At 43.6% G+C, this 25584-nt stretch overlaps 1 protein-coding gene across 4 annotated transcripts in view; it reads left to right on the top strand.

The window, feature by feature from the left end:
• Positions 1 to 25004, top strand: part of ADCY8 (adenylate cyclase 8) — a 260609-nt gene extending 235605 nt beyond the window's left edge. For all 4 annotated transcript variants that reach the window (XM_017013006.2, XM_006716501.4, XM_005250769.4 and 1 more), the window contains 4 exons: positions 4733 to 4879; positions 19830 to 19922; positions 21500 to 21614; positions 24428 to 25004. In XM_017013006.2, the coding sequence (XP_016868495.1) occupies positions 4733 to 4879; positions 19830 to 19922; positions 21500 to 21614; positions 24428 to 24915 (843 nt within the window). In that variant the 3' untranslated portion in view covers positions 24916 to 25004. The remainder of the gene's footprint in view (positions 1 to 4732; positions 4880 to 19829; positions 19923 to 21499; positions 21615 to 24427) is intronic.
• The last annotated feature ends 580 nt before the right edge of the window (positions 25005 to 25584 follow it).

Raw genomic sequence — 25584 nt, 5'->3', positions numbered from 1 at the left:
ATGGGGCTCGGGTAAAGTATTTAATCTCTGTATCCCCCAGTTTCCCCATAGATGAAATAAGGGTCTTACTTGTATCTGTCTCATGGGGACATGGTAAACATTAAATGAGATGATGTATGTGCAATCTTTTGCATTGTGCTTGGCACATAGTAAGTGCTCAAAAAAGTAGCTAATATTATTATCACATTTTTATTTAAGCAATCAGAATATTTCAAATGATGGAAAGACTGAGAAATAAAACTAAGGAAAAGGGCATGAGGCTGGGGGCAGTAGCTCATGCCTATAATCCCAACACTTTGGGAGGCCTAGGTGGGTAGATCGCTGGAGGCCAGGAGTTCAAGACCAGCCTGGCCAATGTGATGAAACCCCATCTCTACTAAAAATACAAAAATTAGCCTGGTATGATGGCAGGCGCCTGTAACCCCAGCTACTCAGGGGGTTGAGACATGAGAATCACTTGAACCCAGGAGGTGGAGGTTGCAGTGAGCATAGATCCTGCCACTGCACTCCAGCCTGGGCAATAGAGTGAGACTCTGTCTCAAAAAACAAAAACAAAAGAGTGTGAGAGGAGCTGGCATTCATTAGAATATTCAGGGAGACAAACAATCGTTAAGACACCCCTGGCTGCCTGCCATTTTATACCATGGAGACATTTACATCACAGGGCATAAACCAAAGTGGGAAGGGATCTGGACTGCATAATTACACAATGAATTTTAGAGGGTAGGATCTTCTCTTTTTTCTCTATTTCTAAGCAGAAAATAAAAATATAGGCATAATGGACTGAATTATGTCTCCCGAAAATTTATATGTTGAAGTCCTAACCCCAAGGATCTCAAAATGTAACTGTATTTAGAGACAGCATCTTTAAAGAGGTAATTAAGTTAAACTGAGGTCATTAGGGGGACCTAACCCAACATGACTGGTGCCCTAATAGAAAGAGGAGACTAGAACCTAAGGGAAGACCAAGTGAAGACACAGGGAAGACAGCATCTGCAACCATGGGGAAAGCCCTCTGACAACACCAACCTGCCAACACCTTGAACTTAGACTTCCAGCCTCTCCAATTGTGAGAAAACTAACATCTGTTGTTTAAGCCACAGAGTCTATGGTCCTTTATTACAACAGCCCTAGCAAACAAATACTATAGGTAATACAGTAAACAGAGACTTTCCCACCAAACCACAGCCATTAGGAGGATGCACATTTACTTAAGCAGGATCTCTGACTCCTGCTGCACAGTCAGGCTCCTTCGTGGCATCACCATATTGTTCAAAGCCAAGGAAAACAGAAATCCACCTTTGAAAGCCATTTACCTTTGCTCTGCTCCCTGACTGCTATCTGCACTCTTTCTACCCTGCCCAGCCCTACCTAGCCAGTCATCAGCTGCCTGTGCTCTTTTGGATAAGGACTAAAGAAGGCATCAGTTTAGATTAATCCATGCTTAAAGTTCAAGAGAAATTGATGATGAATCAGTGACACCATCTTTCTCTGACCTAGGGCATGCATGTGGAGGAGGCACACTCACATGTGTAGTGCAGGGAAAGGCCTTGGGAGTCCTCTGATCCTCTCTTCCACTACTAGCTGTGTGATCCAAAACAATGACTTAACTCCTCTCTGTCTCATTTCCTGTATCAGTAAAGTGGGAATAATTATCATATGACTTCATAGAATTATTGCAAGGATTAAATCACTGAATTCATATGAAAGCAATTTATAAGGTTTCATGTTTCCTACGAAGGTCAGGAAGTCATTAATCAACCAACAGTTTTGAGTATTTACCTTGGACCAGACTGTCTAGGGTGTGCATTATATAGGGGCATCTAAAAACTACTAATCGCATGATACATAATTGGAGTGCAATAAGATGAATGGCATGTGGTTTTTGCCCTCATGGAATCCACACTTGAAGGAAGAAATGGATGTTAAGACAGTAATGCAGGTGGCAAGGGCTATACTGTAGAGTTTTTGAGGTCACTGCAAAGCACCAAGTGCAGCCTCTAAACCCCCTCTGTGACTTGTGGAAGTCGTGGTCTCTAAATGGTTAGCGGAGGCAGAAAACAAGAGTTAGCCTGGTAAAGGAAGCTAACTGCAGGGAAGGAAGAACATTTCCCACCCAGGGACAGACGGTAGGAATAAAAGCATTTAAGTGTGAAATAGAACAGGGTTTGTGTCTTTGTTTGGGTTCTTCCAGAAGCAAACCTTGAGACAAGGATTTGAATGCAAGTAATTTACTCAGCGGTGGTCCCAGTAAACACAAGTAGCTTGGAAAATGAAAAGGAAGGCAACCGATAAATGATGCATCATCCGATTAGTTACCTCTGTGGGCGACTGGAGCTTAATCCGGCTGGGAAATTCAGGGAAATGGTGTGAGAGCATGCCTCAAAGTTATCAGGCCCAAGGGGCGAGGGAGCCGGGACTCTCCAGCAGTTCCCACTGGCATTGGTCAAGTGCTGCTTCTGAGGGGTGTTAATTTCCTGGCACCTCCCAAGGCTGCGTGTCACTTGGGCAGAGTGCCCTCTAGTGGCCAGACAAAAACACCATCTAGCGGAGAAGAAACACAAGGGTTGACACTTGAACACTGGGTGAGAGGATGCAGGCAGAGCACCTACAGCATCAGACACCACATGCACACAGAAGTACAAATGCTTCCGTGTTCTGGAGCACATATCCAACTGGGGAGTTGCAGACAATAAAGCTGAAGAGATAGGTGGAGGCAGGGGCATGCATATATGTCATGCTTCAGTGTGTGAGCTTTATCCTGAGGGCAATGGTGAGCCATTGGAGGGATTTAAGATAGGGAGAGGCATGGTCAATAGTGTATCTTTAATAGATCACTCTGGCTGCTGTGTGAAGGATGCCTTTGAATGGAACAAGACTGGAGTCAGGAAACCCAGTAGAAGGCTCTCATTTTAGTGATCAAGAAGGAAAATGGGAAGAGCCCGATTTTTAAAAACACACACACAGTGGTAGGAGCAAATATGTTTAGAAGACAAAAACAAGCCCAGCAGAACTTGATGATTTATTGAAGATGGATACAATGGGGAAGGAGTCAGGATGACTCTAAGGGTCTCTCATTTTGATGATTTGGCAATGCTGGTGCCACCAAGTGAATTAGAGAGCAATGCAGTAGACACAGGCTTAGTTGGAGAGAAGATGCACTCAGTTTATGGAATTTGTGATTGGAGGAGGGTGAGGGCAACCAAGCATGAGACATGGTAGCTTGAAGCCCAAGAAGGATAACTAACCTTAACACAGGAATTTAGAAACCGTCAGCACATGGGTATTGAAACGAGATGGACCAGGTAAGTGTGTAAAGTTGAGCCATTCAGTGGGCCAAGGACAGAACCATAGCAATCACCAACATTTAAGGTGTAAGAGAAGCAAAAAAAAAAAAAAAAAAAAGGCATTCTCAAAGGGGCCAGGCATGAGAAAAGCAAAGGACATCACTAAAGCATAAAAAGTCAAGAGAATCAAGATCTTGGGGTGATCAATAAAAACACCAATCTGCAGGTGTCCAGCAGGATATAAACTTACATGTGTGCATTGATTTTTCCACTTTGACTGCAGGCTAGACTGTTCTTAGTTCATTTCATTCCAGTCTGAGATGCCAGTGGGCATTAAGAGCGTGGGAATAGGCAGTGAAGGTAACTAGTTTGAGAAGTTTGGAAACAAGGAGGAAGAGAACCTAGTTGATAGCCACAAGTGTCTGCAGGATCCAGGGCACTTTGTTCTTTTTCTTAGAAGAGACTCTTAGAAGATGAGGAGGAGCAGGGAGAGGAGGCTAGGAGAAAGAAATGAGAAAGAAAAGGATCACTGAAAAAGTAAATTGCTGAAGAAGTTATAAAATGATCAGGTAGAAGTATTGACCTTCAGCAAGAGAAGGAAAGACAGACACATCATCATCTGGAGTTGAAGTGAAAGAGAAGAAAATGAATAACAGGCAAGTCTATGAGGATTGGAACAGAGGTAAGTCACCACCAAGAGCCACCACCATGTTCTCAATGAAGTAGAAAGGTAAGATCATCCACTGAGAGAAATAGAGTAGAGGGTTAAGTGGAGATCTGAAGGTTTGGACTAGCCATTGAGGAGAAAAGAAAAGGAAGCTTACCAAGAATGAATGAACTGGCAGTCAGAACTCAGGCCCCAGCTGAGGCTGGAGACCATGAATTTTCAGTCATCACATTCCATATGGTGATGATGCTGTGACTGTGGTGCAATGGACTGAATATTCATGATCCTCCAGAATTCCTATGTTGAAACCCTAACTCACAAGGTGATGGTATTAGGAGGTGGGAAATTTGGGAGGTGATTAGATCATGAAGGTAAAACCCCTACTGGATGGGATTAGTGCCCTCATTTTAAAAGGCCCCAAAGATTTGCTTTGCTTCTTCCACCACTTGAGGACACAGTGAGAAATCAACATCTCTGAACCAGAAAGTGAGTCCTCACCAGACATCATATCTGCCAGTACCTTGATCTTGGACTTCTTAGCCTCCAGAACTGTGAGAAATAAATTTCTGTTGTTTATAAGCCACTCAGTCTAAGGTATTTTGTTATAGCAGCCCACATGGACTAAAACACACTGTTGACATAACGATATCCAAGCCTCATTTTCTGTCTCTCTGTGGGTGACTGTGCACGTGTGTACCCACATGTGTGCACAGGAAGCATCACTGCAGAACCGACCTCTGATGACCATTTCTGGTGCCCTCTGTGTGTCTCTGTCCAGGAGCTGTATTCTCAATCCTATGATGCTGTTGGGGTGATGTTTGCCTCCATCCCAGGATTTGCGGACTTTTACTCTCAGACTGAAATGAATAACCAGGGAGTGGAATGCCTGCGCTTGCTCAATGAGATCATTGCTGACTTCGATGAGGTAAATCTAAGCCTGAGACATTTACAATCACAAATGGGCATCGTTGTCAAAGCGTTGTGTTATTCATTGTAGGAATTACTTATTTTTTTTTTTTGCACTTAACGGAATTCCAGCCTGCATTATAAACACAAACATGTATTATCTGATTTAATTATCACAATTATCACCTGAGTTAAATGCTATTATTTCCCTATTTGGGGGATCAGGAATATAAGGCTCAGGGAGGCTAAGTAACATAACCCAGTGTCACACAGCTGGCAGATGGCAAAGGCAGGACTTGACTAGAGGCCTCTATGAGGCCAATATTACTCAAGCACTGACACCACAGAGGCTGGACACTGAAGCAGGCATTGCTCCATCTTCTCAAAGTGTCAAAGATAAAACTGTCCATTTGCATTTGGTCAGAGAACTAATTGCAAGTACAAACATACTACAGATAGCGGTTTCTTCCTCCAGGCTCCATGAGTCTAGTGAACACATTCTGTGGGGGGAAATGCTCACGCTGCACTTCAGTTCCATTCATAAACTTGACACAAGTGGGCCTTCTACTCCCCCATTCCCCATCTTGAAGGACACCAGTGTCCATCCAGTTACTTAAGCCTGAGCTGGGAAGCAAGTGATTCACTGAGAAAATGCTACGGAATAAGCCAAATCCCTGCCTAACTCCAGAGGGAACTCAGGCACATAAATGGTACAACTGTCTCACACTGAGGCAGGGGGCCAGGCTTTTGGATACCCATATTGGTCAGTCATTATTGGTCATGGGCTGCCCTGGTAGGGGTACCTAGCCTCCCAGGCATTTCCAGCAAGGGAGTTCTCATGAGGCCAAGCAAATTCTCCAAAAGGAGGTGCAGTAATGCATTGTCAGCAGCCAGCACTCATGGCATTTTGGAGGATGGCCCCACAAAGGGGCTTGGGGCGGGAAAAAAAAACAACTACTACATCACTCTAAACAGCATCCTGTCCCTCCATCCCTACATTCAATCCAGCTTCTGAGTCCAGTGAAGTCCTTCTTTCCATTGTATATATTTATGGTGCAAAATGTGATGTTTTGATATATGTGTACATCGTGGAATGATTAAATTAAGCTAATTAACAAATCCATCACCTCACATCTTACAACGTTTTTGTGCCAGAAATATTTAAGATCTACTCTCTTGGCAATTTTCAAGTATGCAATACATTATTATTCACTATAGTCACTATGCTGTGCAATAGATCTCCAGAAAGTACTCCTCTTGTCTAACTAAAACTTTATACCCTTTAACTAATATCTCCCTCTTCCCACCCCACCCCCCAGGTTCTGAAAACCACCATTCCACTATTTGCTTCTGAGTTTGACGTTTTTAGATTCCACGTATAAGTGATGTCATATGTACTTGTTTTTCTGTGCCTGGGGTATTTCACTTAGCATCATATCCTCCAGACCCATCCATGTTGTTGCAAATGACAGGTCTTCCTTCTTTTTGTGGCTGAATAGTATTCCACTGTGTGTGTGTATATGTGTATGTGTGTGGTGTGTGCATGTGTGTGTGCATGCGTGTGTGTGTGTTTCCATTCATTTCTCAATGGAAGTTTAGGCTAATTCTGTATTTTGCCTGTTGTGAACATGCTGAGATGAACATGGGCGTGCAGACATCTCATCAACTTTCTTAATAGCTCTCACACCTGCCTTTTTCTCACCATCAATGCTGCTTTTACCTTGATTCAGACCATATTATTTCTCTCCTAGACAACTGCAGTCATGTCCTATCTGCTCTCCCTGCCTGCATCTCACCATTAGCAATCACCAAAGGCAGGAGAATTTTGTCACATCCCTTTGAAGCCTAAACACTTCAGTGGCTCCCCTTCATCAACTCTAGTAGGTCTTGCACTCACTGTCCCTGCCTCCTCTCAGCCTTACCTCTTACTGCAGGCCACCTGGCCAGCACCACCTAACTACTTACAAGCCAACAAGCCCACCTGGCTCTCACACACTGCACTTTCTGCCTGGAGGCCATGCCATCCTCGCCCTTACCCCATCCTCTCTCCCTCGACTCCATGACCAGCTGAAAAGCTAACATTCATTTAACAGTCAATTCAACGCTACTTCTACGGTTGAAGGCTTTTTTCTAACCCCCATCTCTATCCAGGTAAATGTTGTCACTCCTTTTTTAATGAAAAACTCATACTCTGAAAAACCTCCTATCATAAAGGCTGAAACCCTTCAGTACCACCCTGTTTACCACCCAATAGCCACTTAGTTCTAGGGTAGAAACCCATGTTACTAATCTCTATAGGTTTTTACAAGTGTTGCCAGAAATGCAAAGCATTTTCAATATATATCATTTAATAGTTATTTATCTCTCATACAAACCCTTAGGCTAGGAATTATTAGCCTTCATTTTAAAAATGAGCAAAGCTGAGACTAGAAACACCAAAAATGACCAGAGTCACATACCACTAAGTGGCAAAGCCAAGATTTGAACCCCAGTCTCCCATACTGCTTTGATTTGTAATCATTTGTGTTGCACTGTTTCTCACTTACCTGGCATTTCATGGTAATGATTTTGAAGTCATAAGCTCAAACATGGTCACCGTAGTTGCCCTGGGATGGGTGTGGGGGGTCAAGATGGATAAGACGTGATCACTTCTTGCCTCCCAAGGCTTCACCATCCAGTGGGAGGCAGGGTGACTATGAGTTGCCCTTACACAAGAAGTCACTGGTAAGTGTACTAGTACAGAGGGTCTTGCAAGGTGGGGAGGGGAAGGCAATTTTGTGACAATAGCACCTTTAACTCCTGTCCTCTATGCTAGGCCATAAGGTCACTAAGGTAGAGACCATATTCTTGTATCTTGTTAAGTCTCCAGGGCCCAGCTCTGTGTCTAGCACATAAGAGATGGACATGGCAGATGCTTGCTAAGTACTTGCTAAAGGAATGAATTCATTAATGGGGGGACAGAAACAAGCTGGCAGATAGTAAGGTGAAGATAGGTTAATGCAATTCAAAACATACTTCCAATTTTTTTAATTACCCTATTAAAAATATCTGACTAAAGGTTAAGACGTCAGGCTTTGTTGTATTTTAAACTTTATAGCAGGGGTGTCCAGTGTTTTGGCTTCCTTGGGCTACAATGAAAGAAGAATTGTCTTGGGCTACCTATAAAATACACTAACACTAAGGATAGCTGATGGGCTTTAAAAAAATTCGCAAAAAAAAGTCTCATAATGTTTTAAGACAGTTTACAAATTTGTGTTGGGCCACACATTCAAAGACGTCCTGGGCCACATGTGGCCAGTGGGCCGCAGGTTGGACAAGTTTGCTTTATAGCAACCCATCTTCCAAAAGTGCTCCCTCTCATATTTTAAAATTGTAGTGAATAAAGTATATTTGAATTACATTTGCATCTCAGTGAACCAAATTGTTGACACTCTAGAGTCTTGGAAAGCGGAGAAAGAGGGCAGTGCCCCTAGTGATTGAAATGGGTGTTTGCAGAGGGAAGTTGGAAAACAGGGAATTGGTCTAGGAGGCTGGGTTCTTTAGAACATGGGCATTAGACCAGGAGGAAAAGTATGAATAAGAGGAGGGGGAGGATAAGTAGATGGGGAGGAGGGGAGAGAGGAGAGGGAAGAGAGGCAGCGATGAAGAGAAGAAGGATGAAAAGAGGAGGAAAGGGGAGGAGGTGGAAGAGAAAGGGTGAGGCGGGGGGAAGGTAGGGGAGAATATAGTCAACAGGAAAAATAAAAAAGCGGCCTGAATTGCCAGCCCAAACACTCTCAGTTTTGCCTGTGTGTGGGTCCTTGGGTCACTCAGACCTGCCTTTTTTGTTTTGTTTTGTTTTGTTTTGGTCAAGAGAGGTCCTCTAGATTCTGCCTGGCTGAGTTCCAGCCAGACCCCTGCTGTTCACTTTAATACTGATGCTTCTCTTCTTGCTGATATAATTACCACAGGAACCTGAGATCATGCAAAATTCTTTCCTGGCTCAGAGAAAAGCTGAACTTTGCACAGATCACATCTCCAAGACTGTGTTTGCAATAACCCAACTCAAGGGCTCCTCATCCCACAGCCCCTGCCTCAATAAAGGGCTGAAGAGCCCTCTCACATCTGACTTCCACAAATGGGCTGATCAGGGACCACTCTATGCCCCCAGACACTTTTAGCTATAGAGTAAATAAATCTGCTGGATGGATATTAAATGAGATAATGAAGTTCCTTTCTGCCTCCAAATTATCTTCTGAGGGGGAGGCTTACCAGAGCCTGAAGCTGGCTCTTGGCCAAGTGATTCTGAAGAGAAGAGAAGGAAAAGTACCTGCTCTCCACAGGACCACATCAGATCAGTCCACCACCAGCAGAAAGCTGGGGGAAAGTAGTTACAGGGAGGCAGAGGGAGGGAGGTGAGTAATTGAAGATGTTCCAGGATTTTTAAGCTGAAACATTAGCAGCTGAAGGGCGCCAAAACACCAAATATGTTTGATTAGTGTCTGAAAGCAAAGATCAGTCATGATCCAAGGCTGAAGACCTGTGTACCCTGGGCATGACTGGCAGAATCTCTGTGACAGCAGAAGAGGGGCTTCACTTTAGTTCAAGAAACAAAAATAATAAACAAAGGCTGCCCCTGCTGTAAATCAGGCTATACATACACACAAACACACACACACACACACCAAAGCCAAGCACCTACCTGTGTTCTCCATGTTCCCAGAAGAGTTCCTCTCAAGGAGGAATTTTCCAAGTTTCTTAGCCCCTGATTAATTTTGAGATGATGCCTGAAACAAGAGAGTCTGTAGAGAACCCATCTTCTGCTCCGTCTGCCTGTCTGTCCACCCCAGGATGACATGAGACCTGGAGGATATTACAATCTTAAATGGAGGCAAAAGCTAGAGAATCAGAAATTACATCTAAATATCTGCCAAGAGTGGGAATAAGAAGACAAAGTTTAGACTTGGGAATCAGTGAGGTTTGAGTTTTAGCCTAACTCTCCCACTCAGGGTCGGCTTCGCGAGTGTGCAGCTTGTGCAGTCCCAAAAGGAACCCATGCTTGTTTTAATGTTCTGCTATTGCTCTCATGTGTGTCTTAATTTTTGAAAAAGGTGTTCCACATTTTCATTTTGCACTGGACCCTGCAAACTATGCGTGGTCCTGTCTCCCCTTTCTCACCCTGGGACCTTGGGACACATTATTTTACCGCATGGAGGCTCTGCTGATTCATCTGCAAAGTGAATACTAAGCTCAAAGTGCCACTCAGAGAAACAGATGATCGACGGAGGCAGAGCCCCTAGTTCTGTGCCCCAGTATATGCGGACATCGCCTCTTCCAGTCTACTTTTTAATCTCTTTAAAATGTTTAATTTATGCTTTGTATACTGTGGGGTTTTTATTTTTAGTAGAGACAGCGATTTTCACCACGTTGGCCAGGCTGGTCTCGAACTCCTGACCTTAGGTGATCTGCCTGCCTCAGCCTCCCACAGTGCTGGGATTACAGATGTGAGCCACCACCCCAGCCTGGAATTTTTAATCTAAAAGTTACCTGCAAGGGCATTGAATTTATGTAATTTAGCCATTTTCTCACTCTATGTCCTTAAGCAAGTTATTTAATCCCTCTATGCACCTCAGTTTTCCCATCTACAAAATGAGATACAGTAGGGTCATTGTAAGTTAAATGCAGAGATTAAAAAGCACTTAAGACTGTATTTGATGTGATGGACTGAATAGCATCTCCTCCCTAAAATTCATGTGCTGTGAGAAATGAGTTTCTGTTGTTTGTTTTTATTATGGCTGCTTGAGCAGACTAATACACTTGGCACATAACTATGATCATTAAAAGTTCATTTTATTATTATGTGTATTTGTTTCTAGTGTGGCTGTAACAAAGTACCACACATTTGGTGTCTTTAAACAACAGAGGCTGGCCGTCGTGGCTCATGCCTTAATCCCAGCACCTTGGAAGGCCGAGGCAGGCGGATCACGAGGTCAGGAGTTCGAGACCAGTCTGGCCAACATAGTGAAACCCCATCTCTAGTAAAAATACAAAAAATGAGCCAGGCGTGCTGGTGGGTGCCTATAATCCTAGCTACTCGGGAGGCTGAGGCAGGAGAATCACTTGAACCTGGGAAGTGGAGGTTGCAGTGAGCCGAGATCGCACCACTGCACTCCAGCCCAGGCAACAGTGCAAGACTCTGTCTCAAAACAAACAAACGAACAAACAAACAAATCCAGAATGCATTCTTTCACAATTCCGGAAGCAAGAAGAGTGAGATCAAGGGGTGAGCAGGGCCCTGCTCCCTCTGAAGGCTCTAGGGAAAACTCCTGCCTTGCCTCTTCCCAGCTTCTGGTGGTGGCTGGCTGACCGTGGCAGCATGATTCCAATTTCTTTCCATCCTCACATGTCTTTGTCCCTGTGTGTGTCTCTGTGCCCTCTCCTCTTCTTATTAGGACACCAGCCATAATGGATTTAAGGCTCACCCTAATCTAATATGACCTCTTCTTAGCTTTAAAAATTACTCTGCAAAAAACTTATTTCCAAAGAAGATCACATTCTGAGAGTCTGTGAGGACATGAATTTTTGAGAGGCACTATTTAACCCAGTATAGTATTCACACCCTTTTTAGAAGTGCATAGGGATAAAATGTAAGTTTGTTTAAAAGGAAGGGAGAGGTGCACTTATGATCTTCTAAACTAATATGTTCTACTTCTCATCATTCTGCAACTAATACTCTTCCACCCTGGAAATGCACTGCGAATATGAAGTCCATGTGACAGTGATTAACTGAATCTTGCTTCATTGACAAGAGTGACACTGAAAGCCAGCCTCAGAGAATTTGCTGTTTATGGGCTTATTGAACCAGTATCTAGTGAAGTCCTGCCCTGGGCGCACAAGATATAATGACAAACTAAACAGGCATAAATCCTGTTCTCATGAAGCTTATACTCTATTGTGGGTGAAGAACAATCAAAAAGAATAACAAGTAAATATGTTGTACAATAGACAGAGATACATTCGGTGGGGGAAGATAATGCAGGGAACATGGGAAGGAAGGTTTGGAGGGAGGGGTGCAATTAGAGTCACCCACTCATCGCTTACCCAGGACTTTCCTGGTGTTGGCACTAAAAGTTTTGCATCTCAAAAAATCCCCCGACCTGGGTGAACCGAGATGGTTGGACACCCATAGTGCAATTTCAGAGAGGGTTCTGAGAAAGGGCTTACTGAGAGGCCTGGAGGAGATGAGGACGTGGAACTGATCCATAGAAACAGCTTGGGGGGCATGGCGGCAGGCAAGGAAAAGCCCACGTTCTAAGCCCTGAGGAGGGTGTGTGCAGCAGGCTTTCTCTTGTTCTCTTGAGCAAGTCAGGTGATGGAACCTGACTTGTGCTGCCTTAGGGGTGAGCCAGCTGCATCAGCATGTCTTGGGTACTTTCTATTTAGACAGGGAAAGACTTGGGCCGCAGCTCCTGGCCACACAACATGCAAGAAGAAGGCTGGAGCTGGTTCCTGCCTTTAAACCAGCGTGGCAGGGTCAGTGGCTGATGGAGAGAAGGGCCAGAGTGCCAAATATTACAGGACCTCATGGACCAGAGCAAAGGCTTTGGCTTTTACTCTGAGACTGATGGGGATGGCTACGAGGGTTTCCAGCAGAGAAGGGATGTAACGTAACTTTGATTTTAACAGGGTTCCTCTCAGCTCTGTGTGAAGAACAGGGTCAAGAGTGGAAGAAGGGAGCCAATTAAGAGGCTTATTTCAATAAAAGAAAATGGATGAGGGTGGCTAGGACCAAGGAGGTGATGAGACAGGGTCAGAACCTGAATGTCTTTAAAGATAGGGCTAAGGATCTGCTGATAGATTAGATGTGGGTTATATGGGTTTTATTCTGAAGCAACTGGTAAAATGGAGACACCACTAACCAAGATGGGGGTCGATGAGGAGGAACAAGGGGCCAGCTTTGAGAATGGCAGATCTGAGACACCTGTTAGACCTATAATGAAGACATCATGTAAGCAATTCCATACTGAGTCTGAAGGTCAAGGCAGGGCATGCAGTTAGGAGTTTTCAGCAAAGAGATTGTATTTACAGCTGTAAGACATGATGATACCACAAGGAAATGAGCTAGATGGAAAAGAAAAGAGGTCTGAGGCCTGAGCCCTGAGGCTCACCTATGATATAAGATAATGGTGGAAAGAAGGAATTAACCACAGAGACTGGTGAAGCATCACCAGTGAAGTGGAAGTAAAATCTGAAGTTGGGGAAGCTAAGTAGGAACAAAGGTATAAACAGGAGTAGAGCCCCATCAGCTGGGTCCAGTGCTGCTGGTAGCCCAAGAGAAGCGAGGCTGAGGACAGCCAGCAGCATGGGACATGGAGGGCCTCCAGGACCTGGAAAGGAGCAGTTTCAGTGGCATGGCAGGACCAGGCTTAGGAAAAAATGGGGAGGAGGAAAATGGAAGCAATCAGTCTAGACAACTCTTTTCAGAAGTTGTACAGCAAAAAAAGGAGACAAGTAGAAAGGAAAGTGATGTCAAGAAAGACTGCTGTAGGATAAGAAATTTCACAGCAGGCTGTATGCTGATGGGAAAAATCTAGCAGAGAGGGTGAGATGGATGGAGTCAGGGACAAAGGAGAATGCTGGAGCAGCATGCCTACATGACAAGGGATGGACCTGTAAACACCTGTGGGGCTCGGCCCTCACTAGGAGCACTGAGAGTTCCTCCCCACACCTGGAGAGAGGCACATGTGTGCACACAGGTGCAGGTAAGTGGAGTGAGCTGTAGAAGCAGGTGTGCACTACTATAATCTCCTGCCAAAGGTTCACTCCAGACATGAGGTTAAAGCTGTGCCCTGTGCAGCCTTGGAGGTGAGCCAGCCGCATCACCAAGTCTCAGGTACTTTCTTCTTGTAATAGGAAAATACCTATGCCACAGCCCCTGGGCATACAACATGTAAGAGGAAGGCTAGAGCTAGTCCTTTGCCTTTAAATCAGTATGTCGTAAGCAATTTCTTAAACCAGAGGTCAGCACAGTTTTCCTGTCTTCTCCAGGCACTTCTCCAGCCCACTCCGCTTACCGGCACCTGCCCCTGTGTGCACATATGTGCCTTTTCTCCAGGAATGGGGAGGAACTCTCAGGGCTCCTGGTGAGGGCCGAGGCCCACAGGCATGCATAGGTCCCATCCCTTGTCACCTAGGCATGCTGCTCCAGCATTCTCCCCTTTTCCCTGACTCCACCCATCACCCTCTCTGCTAGATCTTTCCCATTGGCATACAGCCTGCTGTAAAATTTCTTTTTGATTGTTTCACCCACAATAGAGTATAAGCTTCATGAGAGAGAGCAGGATTTATGTCTGTTTATTTTTGACTTTGAAGCCAAAAAGTAAGTAGTGTAAAAGCAGAGGAGACCCAACCCAGCTGTGCTGAACCACACAGAACCATGTTCTAGCCGTTGGCCCATGCTGTTCCCAAGAATTTGGGAAAGGGCATGAACGTGTAAACTGAGTACTACAGATCTGGAAACTACATCATCAAGAGATTACTCTGGGGAAATTCAAAGGAGATTTGGGAAATAGGAGAGATGTAAGAACCACTTCTGAGTACCGTCACTTGAAGGGCTGGCCCATGGAGAAGAGTTCGGCTCTTTCTATATTGCCCCAGAGCTGCCATCTCAGCCCAAAGGTATAATGGATCGACGGAGGAAGGATCTCTCATTCAGAGGCTTCCCAACAGTGGCCTGAGCTGAGGTCCCCAGGGAGTGAATCCCTACCAGCCAGCATAGATGGGGGTAAAATGGATGACCTGGAACTAAATCCTGTTCATCTGTGACCTGTCTGTGCCCCACCACCACCAAAAATGTGAGGCTTGATTCTTTGAAAAGCCTCAACTGCAAACTCCAGGTTAAAGTCTCAGCAGAGTAGATATTTAGAAAGTTGAGGAGGGTGGCAAGGCTTCCTGTGTAATCAGAGGTGGAGACATGCTGTGTTTCATTAGGCACGGAGCGAACTTTGACATGCAGGTCACAAAAATAGAACAGGCTACTTTATAATGGGATTGTGTACTATCATAGCCCCTACCATACATGAACACTTATAGATATTAAAAACAAGGAGATAGGAGGCTTTGACGTTTCACCCTCCTAAATCATTTCAAACTGGGGAATTCAAAGCCAACGCATCCCATGGGTCTCTCTAATAATCATATCTGAGAATGGGAATTGAAATGTGCCATGGCTTATTCAGTGCTTAGGTAGAAGACACCACAGAACCGTATAGTTTAAGTTCAAATCTGGAAGAGAAGTTCAAATCCACATTAACTCCAGCCCTCAAAGCAGCATGCACTTGTCCATGATGTGTGGGGATGTGCAACTCAGGACACGGCAAGCCCATCAAAGGCAAAGACTTTGTATCCCTACCTCAGTGCCTGGAATATAATATTCAATAACTACCTACTGGATGAATAAATGAATGAATGACTTGACTATCCCCCAGGCAGCTCATCCTCTTCCTTTAAAGTGGTGCTTCTCTGACTCACGCATGCACTAGAACTACCTGGAAAGCCTGTTAAAACACAGGTTGCCAAGCCCCATCCCGAGAGTTTCTGAGTCAGTAGGACTGAAGGGGCCGCAATTTTGCAACTCAACCAAGTTCCCAGGTGATGCTTATGGGACCACACTTTGAAAATCACTGCTTTAAGGCAAGGTAGCAGGAAAGGCAGGCGTGACTTTGGAGTCAAGCAATCAAGATTCAAATTCTGTTCTGACTCTTCTTAGCTGGGTGGCCTTTAGCAATTCCGTCAGCCCCTCTGTGCCTCAAATTCCTCCTATATAAAATGGGGACAAAATATTGACTGCACAGGGTTGCAAGGTATATTATGGATATCGGGTGAAGTTTTCTTAAACTGCACTGAGGTGAGAAGCCATCCAAATATCACCTAGTGTTTCCAAGGAATATTAACAATTATCAGTGCATCCCAGACCATTAGACTTGGGGTACAAGGAAACATGCAATGTTGTACCCACTCTCCAAAATTATACTGTCCACTTGGTATGGCAAACACCAATCATTCAATATAAAGTGACGATGACAGACGAGGGCTGTTGGTGCAGAGAGAGGCACCCACGAAGCTTCCTCAGAGGAGAGGCCAGGCACAGGGATACATGCTTCAACTTGTCTAGGGAGCCCACAGACATTGAGATTAGCCAGCCCATTAGAGTTTAGGGAATGTCTTTACTCTTAATAGCATATATTTGGTTTTATGTAATTATTTTAACAGGTTTGTTGTCTTATAGTTGATTCAAAAACCTGCATATAAAATATACAATTTGATAAGTTTTGATATGTTTAGACACCTATGAAACATCACCACAATTAAGATCCTGAACATATCCATCATTCCCAACAGTTTATTCATACCTTCATAATTCTTTCTTCCTGCTCCTCCCCGTCCCCTCATTCCAGTGCAACTATTGATCTGCTTTCTATTACAATAGGTTACTCTGCATTTTCCAGAATTTTATATAAATGAAATAATCATGATAGGTACTCTTTAATATCTGGCTTCTTTCACTTAGTGTAATTTGTTTGAGATTTATCATATTCTTGTGTGTTTCAAGAGTTCATTATTTTTGTTCTGGAGTAGTTTCCAATTTGGTGCAAATAAATTTGCAAATTTTTTTAATTTCTTAAAGTTTTATTTTAATTGACAAATATAATTATACATATTATAGAGTACAATGTGATGTTTTGATACATGTATATAATATGTAATGATCAAAACAGAATAAGTAGCATATTCATTACCTCGAATATTTATCATTTATTTGTGATAAGAAAATTTAAAATCCTTCCTTCTAGCTGTTTTTAAATATACAGTATATTATTATTAATTATAGTCACTCTACTGTGCAATAGAACAGATCTTATTCCTCCTATCTAACTGTAAGTTTGTACCCATTGTCAAGCATCTCCCCAGTCCCTCTTCACCCCCATCCCCAGTCCCCACCATTGACTCTCTACTTCTATGAGTTCAACTTTTGTAGATTCCACATATGTGTGAGATTATATGACATTTGTCTTTCTGTGCCTGGCTTATTTCACTTACCATAATGCCCTTCAGATTCATCCATGTTTTCTAAAATGACAGGATTTCCTTCTTTTATGGCTGAATAGTATTCCGTTGTGTATATATAACACATTTTTTGAATTTACTCATCCATTGATGGAAACTTAGCAATCCCACTACTGGGTGTATACCCAAAGGAAATGAAATCAATATGCCAAAGGAATGTCTGCACTCCCGTGTTCACTGCAGCATCATTCACAATTGCCAGGATATGAAATCAACTTAAGTGTTCAATGACAAATGAAGGGAAATATTGTATGTGAGTTTATAGCTTGTCAATCTTTGGAGCTTAGAAATTCTTGGTGCATAACACCAAGCCAATATGAAATAAATGCATGTGATAGACAAGCATGTGATATAATCCAAAACTATTCTTGACTTTCTTGACACCCCTTCTCTGCCGCCTGACTGCCCCGAACACAAACGCACACACACATGCACACATGTGGACACACATATAAACACCACACACATATGTACATATATGTGCATGACTACACACAAATGCACACATGTGGATGCACATGCACATAAACAACACACATGTGTGTGTGCACCCACACACAGGCACACATACATGTGGACACAGGCATGAAAACAACACACACATGCACACATGCAAATGCATACTCACACAAATGCATGCATGTGGACACATACATGGACATACATGTGCACATAAACATCACACATGCACACATGTACTGTACACATGTAGACATACACACATCACTACACATGTACTGTACACATGTAGACATACACACATCACTACAAATGTGCCCACATGTGTGTCCACACACATATGTATGCAGGTGGACACACATGCACATAAACACCATACACACATATATGCACATATACACCCACACCCACACGCAATATGCACACATAGTTGCACACAGGCACACACACACAAATCTACATCTGGGACTAGCAAATGTTAGAAGCTAATTTGCAGGAACGCCACACAGCACCAATCTTGTTGATTCTATCACCACCAATATAATCTTTCAAAATATCCATATATCTGACTCCATCCCTAACCCAAGCCATTGTCATTGCCTGCCTGGATCTTGCAGTAGGTCTCCCCTCATGTTTCCCTCCCCTCATGACAATAAGAATGAACTTTCCAAAATCCAAACCTGACTTGGTCTCTTTCTGCCTACACCCTTTCAGTGCTTGTCACTACTCTTAGCATAGAGACCCATTGTCTTCAATATCATCTGTGTGTCCTCCAGGGCCTTGTGTGTTCTGGCCCCCACTACCTCTCTCAGCTCTTTTCCTTCAACTTATGGCCTGGCTTACCACACTGTGGCCAAACTGACCTCGTCTTCACTCTTTGGACCTCCTGTACATTCTCCCCAACTTCCAGACCTCATCTATGCTGGCCCCTATTTCTGGATGCTCCCCTTCCCATGCCCCTAGCTTCCCCAACACACACAAACTCATACACTCACTGCTAGAAAAACCCCTCCTCACCCTTTAGAACTGAAGCTAGAAATCACTTGCTGAGGGATCCCTTCCTAGATCCTTCAGATTAGATCAAAATGGCCTGATCTCCTCATCCCTCTACCCTGTATATTTCCAACATAAATTCTATTAAAATTGAACTAGGGCATGTTCTGTGTATTTATTTTTAACATCTGACCTCCCTACTTGGGTTGGTAGAGCTCATGTATCTTGTTCATCCAACATATAAGAACTCAATGAATAGTTACTGTATTAATTTCCTACTGCTGCTGTAACCAATGGCTACAAATTTAGTGGCTTGAAACAACAGAAATCTATAACCTTACTGTTTGGAGGTCAGAAATCCAAAATGAAACTTACAGGGCTGTGCTCCTTCCAGAGGCTCTGCAAAGTCCTTTTTGTCATGTAACCTGACATATGCACAGGTTCCAGGAATTAAGACACAGGCATCTTTGGGGCCTGGGTTCAGGAAGCATTATTCTGCCTACCACCATTGCTAAATAAGACACCAAGGTTTCCCTCTCTTAGCATTAAAACCGAAACCACAGGTAAAGGTAAAGGAAATGTCCCAGGATAGCACCCATTCCTTCATTTAATCATTCACTCATTCATTCTTCTCTACAGTCTGTCTAGGTGCTGAGTAGTAAACACAACAGTGGAAAATATATGCTCCAGGAATATTACATTCCCTAGAGGAAGAGGACAATAAATAAGCAATATCAGGGATAAGTGCTAAGGAGAGAAGGTAAAACAGGGAAGGAAGATAAGAATATGTATGTGGGAATGGGATGCTGCGTTCAATTTTAAATAAGGTGGTCAAGAAGACTGCACTGCAAAGATGAGATTTGAGGAAAGACCTGTAGGAGGTGAGGGAGTAAGCCATACACTTGTCCCAGGGAAGAGTAGCCCAGCAAGAGAACAACAGGTGCAGAAGTCCTGAGGCCAAAGCAGGCTGAGCTTGTTCTCAGGTCAGTGTGGCAAGGGGCAAAGGGGATCAGTGCAGCTGGAGCAGAGTGAGAGAGGGAGACGATAAGAGAGCGGACAGGTCTTGGCAAGCCTTGCAAGTCACAGTGAAGACTGGTTTTGACCTTGAGTAAAACAGAAAGCCATAGGAGGTTTGGCACAGAGCAGGGACAGGATCTGATTTACATGTGAAGGGGCAGACCTACTCCTTAAAGAGTACCAATTTACACCCATCTCCACTCCTGACCCTTAGCAAGTGCTCATTAAATATATGTGACTGGCTGAAAGCATGATTCTCAGAGAGAAAAGCAGATAACTAGAGGATATTGAACCATCAGAGGTAGCTCATTGTGAGCCAGGGGCCTGTTTTCAGGAGCCCAGGCTGCTGGAAGAATAAACACCAGGGCTAACACCATTGCCTGGCTCTCTTTCAGTTGCTTGGTGAAGACCGATTTCAAGACATTGAAAAGATTAAGACCATTGGCAGCACCTACATGGCCGTGTCAGGCCTGTCACCTGAAAAACAGGTAAAGGACTCTTTGGACTCAGCCACAATGCATGGTGGGGTCTTGCTGTTGTCATGTCACCGACGGTGGTGAAGCCTCTGTCACCAAGATCCTTGGGGAAAGATGGGGAGAAAATCTAATGGACTGGATTATAATAGTTACGTGATGTGGATTTGCCCCCAAGGTAGGTAGAGTCTACCAGATGAAGCCACGCTGCTTTTTTGAGAAACTTCTAGGCTTTGTTCTGAACCTCATTGTTCCCTTGAACAAAATCAAGAGCCCAGAAATAGCCTATTGTGATTTAGTTGTGGATCTTACTAAACCCCTAATACTAGCCTCTTTTTTCCTATTTTGGTTTTGTCTTTCAAAAGTCTTACATCATAATAATAACAGTTGCTGCTTTTTGGAGTGTTGACTGTGTTCCAGGCACTGGTGTTAAATGGCAACACTGTCTACCTTCCAGGGTTAATGGATGAATTATCTCAGATAATGTCATGCTCCCCAAGCAAAGCCTTGCATCTAGTAAAGTCCTCAATTAGTGTTAAAAGAATATGAGTCCAAGATACTTGGGGAAATGGAATTCTCATCAATTTCTTCCAATCCTTCGTATGCTTTTTTCCAACTAAAAACAATAAAATACTTCAAGAGTGACTATCTGGGATGAAACTCATGCTGGTTATTATTTGGTACGTGTGCAGCAGGGATCAGAAAACTACAGCTCACAGGTCAAATCTGGCCCACCATCTGTTTTTATAAATAAAACTTTATTGGAAAACAGCCATGCCCATTCATTTATATTTTGCCTATTGCTCCTTTCAAGCTAAAATGGCAATGTTGAGTGTCACAACAAAGACCATATGGTCGACAAACCTTAAAATATTGGCTATCTAGCCTTTATTGAAACTGTTTGCTAACCTCTGTTCTACAGGGGCACAAAGTTCTCTCATATAAAAAATCTCATTCAATACCTACGAGGTAGGAAGGGCAAGTATGCTTATCCCCATTTTATAGATTTGGAAACTGAGGTTCAGAGAGGCCCAGAGGCTTATGCAGCACTTCCCTTAGGAGTTTTGTAAGCAAATGTATCCCTTAAACACACACTGTGAGCAATTCAAAGGAAATAGACACAGTTCTTAGACTGGAAAACTACACATACATAAGAGCACATATACACACACATACCCATACCCACACATATACCCATACCCACACACATACCCATACCCACATACACTCACGGCCACCCACACGCCCACACACCCCCAACACACACACACATACACACATACACTCATTCACACACATGCCAGTGAACATACACTACGGAATTGATGCTACATCAACCTGAACAGACAGGTGTAGATGTGGAAGAAGGAATACAATGACCCACATATACTACACTCTTGCAAGCAAATCTTATGTCTTCCCATGTTCTGAGATACCAGTGACTTGAGTGTAGAGGGGCTCACCCACATGATTATTTCCTTAAAGGGATGTGCAGGTAGGGTTGGGTTAGGACGTAAAGCCCCTGCTGCAGAAATGTTAATGTTCCCCCACATTCCGCATTAAATGATTTCTTCTCCTCATGTTTGCTTCAGCAATGTGAAGACAAGTGGGGACATTTGTGTGCTCTGGCTGACTTCTCACTCGCCCTGACAGAAAGCATACAGGAGATCAACAAGCATTCATTCAACAATTTTGAACTCCGGATTGGTGAGTAGCAGCTGCAGGTGGGGCCTGATAGAGCCAGCTGACCTTGCTCCAACAGACCCTCCCCTGCCTTGGGCATCAATCCAGGAAAGCTTTTTCCTGCAAAATGCAATAGATCTAGCATGACCCTGCCAAGGATAGGGACAAGGTCAGCTCAGGCCTTTCTTAGTTTCCTCTCAGTCAAGATGCTGGAAACAAGAGTAGGATACTGGCTTGTGTGCAGAAATACAAAGCAGCCAGCCTTTGGCAAATGCTAGACTATTGTGAACCCCTCTTCCAACTTGCCTGCCCATGCAAGGTCGTGCATAGAGATGTAGCTGACTAATCAGTCATTTAATTCTGACTCCTGGGTAGCTCAATGCTGGTGGTCAATGTATTGCTCTCAAGGTCTTCAGGATAATTCCTTCAGACAAAAGCAGGATTCTACTCCTGAGGATGGCAGATACTATACTTCCAGGGACAGGCTTTACTCAGCCACAAAGCTCGCCATTTCTTTGGGCTTAAAGACATCACCGCACAAAGCAACAACGTAACATTAATCACTGCAATCAATAATAATCCTTTATATTTGCCATTCCTTCCACATCTCTACTGAGCCTCAGTGACCTCCTAAAATGCAGTCTGAATATCCCTGGTCTAGTCCACATTCTCATTTTGTAGATGAGTAAATGCGGGCCTATGAAAAGGGAGTAACTAGCCTAAGATCACACAGTCACACCAGCAGCAGCTCCAGCATTTCCTAACTCTGAGACAATGACATTCTGGCTGCCAGAGTGCAGTTTAAAATAACTTTTGCTACGGTCCTCACACTGTAGACATCTTCTGGCTGATATGCCATTTTACTTTATCTGCTTCTCCCTTAGCAGCTTTCAAGAAAAACAGGTCAAGAAATACCAATATCTGACTTGTCAGATCTAAGGAATGCCATATGTCTTTGCTCTTTGCATTAAAGGGCTTATATTTTATGTTTTTGATCTATGGATGGGATGTTCAGCGCTTGTTCCCACATCTTCCATCAATCTTATCAATGTCATTTCTGAAATTGTTGACTACACAATTGAACCAGGAATAAAAAGGGAACTGTAATGCTGAACAGAGATATTCTAAGTAAATTCTGAAGATGTTGCCAAATCAGGGTCAACCCTTGCCATGACATATTACACTCGTAGTATAGTTTCACTGATCTCAGAGGTTGGAAAATTAACTTCCCAACTGAATTAAGCATCTCAATTTGTGTTTTGGGTCTGCTGTAACCAGCTGTATGACTTTGGGTGAATCATTTAAACCTTCTGTGTCTCCGTTTCCTCCTATGTAAGCTGGGTGTTAAATTATTACCTCCTCTGCCTCTCTACCTCACAATAATAATATGAGAATCAAATGGGATATTGGCTGTCAAAGTTCTCTGCAAATTTTAAAGAGCTAACTATCATTGTGATTCCCATGTACTCCATAGAGTGAGATTTTCAAATTTCCAGTCACTTATATCAGTGGGTATACGTGTCTTGCTTTTGCCTCGGCCTAGAATAATCTTACCGAGATATCTGCATGGCTATTCCCACCATATTCTCTGCTCAACAAGGTCTTTGCTAACCTCCTTACTCCGAGATATACTCTCTTCCATCTTTCTCCATTATTTTACCCTCATTGATTTTTCTTTGTAGCCCTAATCATTCATTAATATTATATTACATTTGTAAAATTATTTTCTATCTCTCCCCAGTAGAAGGTAAATTCCATGGGGACCAGGGCTGTATTTCTTTCCTTTCCCACCACATCCCCAATGCCTAGGACTGTACCTGGCTCATAGCAAGTGCCTAGTCAATGTTTGTAGAATGAAATAATTGTCTTTTAGAAAGAGACATACATGCCCACTAACAGGTTTAGTGAAATGCTACCATTTCTAGAATTCTATGCTTCCTAGTGGAGGAGGCACTGAAACTGTCTTTAAAAGTATTTACCAGATAAACTGTGAAAGTGTGGGGAAGTAATAGCACAAGCAGGGGGAAAGTCAGGACAAAGGCACAAAGGTGGGTACTGGCTGGAAGGTTAGGAAAACTCCAGCAGTTCAGTGTGAATATAATGCAGCAGTAAGGAAGAGAGTGGGATAAATGAGGCTGGAAAATCAGGCAAAAGCCATATCAGAGAGGTTATTGATTGTGAGTCTAAGGATCATTGGCTTTATCCTGTAAGTGAAAGGAGCCCTGGAAGATATTTAAGTGGGTTGTAACTTGATCAGATATGCAACTTGATCAGAACGAGCCCTCCCGCTCCTGCAGCAGTGTGGAGGATGAGCTCAAGGGAACAAGGGAGGAGACAGGGAGGACAGTTAGAAAGCCATCGCCATGGACCAAGGGAATGATGCTGAGGACCTGGGCTAAAACAGAGAGGGAAAAGGCCTGTGCAGGCTCTCAGAGCACTGTGTCAGCAGAAGCAGGAGATCCTAGGGTCCTGACTTCTGGTCCATGCTCTGATCATCTCACAGACTAAGACAAGTCAGTGCTCATATGACAATAATAATTATATTCAATTGAACACTCACTGGTTGCCAGGCACCATGCCACAGTGGCTTTACTTGTATTATCTCATTAAATCTGCCTTTAATTATTTCCATTCTACTGATGAGAAAAGTGAGGTCCAAATAGGTTAATTAACTGACCCAGGTGATACATCTAATAAGTGACTGGGGGCAGGATCTGGACCCTCCCGTTCATCCACAGAGACCCCACACATAGTGATCACTGTCCCAGGGAGGGGTCCAAACACCCCATTGTCCCCCTTCTCCCTCTGACTTCTTGCTCCTTTGCTTCACCCCCCAGGCATCAGCCACGGCTCAGTGGTAGCTGGCGTTATCGGCGCTAAGAAACCACAGTATGACATTTGGGGCAAAACTGTGAACCTGGCAAGCCGAATGGACAGCACGGGGGTTAGTGGCCGGATCCAAGTCCCAGAGGAGACCTATCTCATCCTGAAGGACCAGGGCTTTGCCTTTGATTACCGAGGGGAGATCTATGTGAAGGGTATCAGTGAACAGGAAGGAAAAATCAAAACGTACTTTCTTCTGGGAAGAGTCCAACCCAACCCATTCATCTTGCCCCCAAGAAGACTGCCTGGGCAGTACTCCCTGGCCGCGGTTGTCCTGGGACTTGTCCAGTCCCTCAATAGGCAAAGGCAGAAGCAGCTACTCAATGAGAACAACAACACAGGAATCATCAAGGGTCATTACAACCGGCGGACTTTGTTGTCACCCAGCGGCACAGAGCCTGGAGCCCAGGCTGAAGGCACCGACAAATCTGATTTGCCATAAAAGCATTTTCTTTCTGTTTTTTTTTTTTGTATTTCTTTTATATATAAAATAAATATACTAATAAAAAGGTTTAATTTTTTTTAGAACAAGGATGGTTTCGTTGGTCTTTGAATGTACCAGATCAAGGACACAATTTGAGATTCTCTTCAAATGTTCCCTTCACAAATATTTATTGGTCACCTCTTGTGTACAAGGTTTATTGGGAGGCAAAGATAAATGAGATCTAGTTTCTGACTTTGAGAGTTTGAGAGACTTACAACTAGGTGGAAGAGTGGGACATGTGAAGTGAACAGAAACTCCATACAGTCAGATACTCACCACCATCTGCTATTTTTGAGCACTTGCCATGTGCCAGGCCAAGCGCCAAATTTTTTACATAATGACCTCCTGTAATCCTCACAGCACTTGACCAGTACGTTCATCAGTATTTGCTGAGCAACTACAATGTGGATATGGCTGTCCTATCCTCCAGGGAAATCCTAGCAAAAGTGTTTCCCTTATAGAGCTAACATTCTGGTTGGGGAATAATATATAATATTCTTATTAACCAATACATAAATAATCTGCTTTCAGATTGAGGTAGAGGCAACAAAGAAAATTAAGTTGGCCACTTGGGATAATAATCTGCTTTCAGATAGAGGTAGAGGCAACAAAGAAAATTAAGTTGGC

This window comes from Homo sapiens, chromosome 8, assembly GCF_000001405.40.
Source record: "Homo sapiens chromosome 8, GRCh38.p14 Primary Assembly".
Taxonomy (NCBI): Eukaryota; Metazoa; Chordata; class Mammalia; order Primates; family Hominidae; genus Homo; species Homo sapiens.
This window is presented reverse-complemented; position numbering and strand designations above follow the sequence as displayed.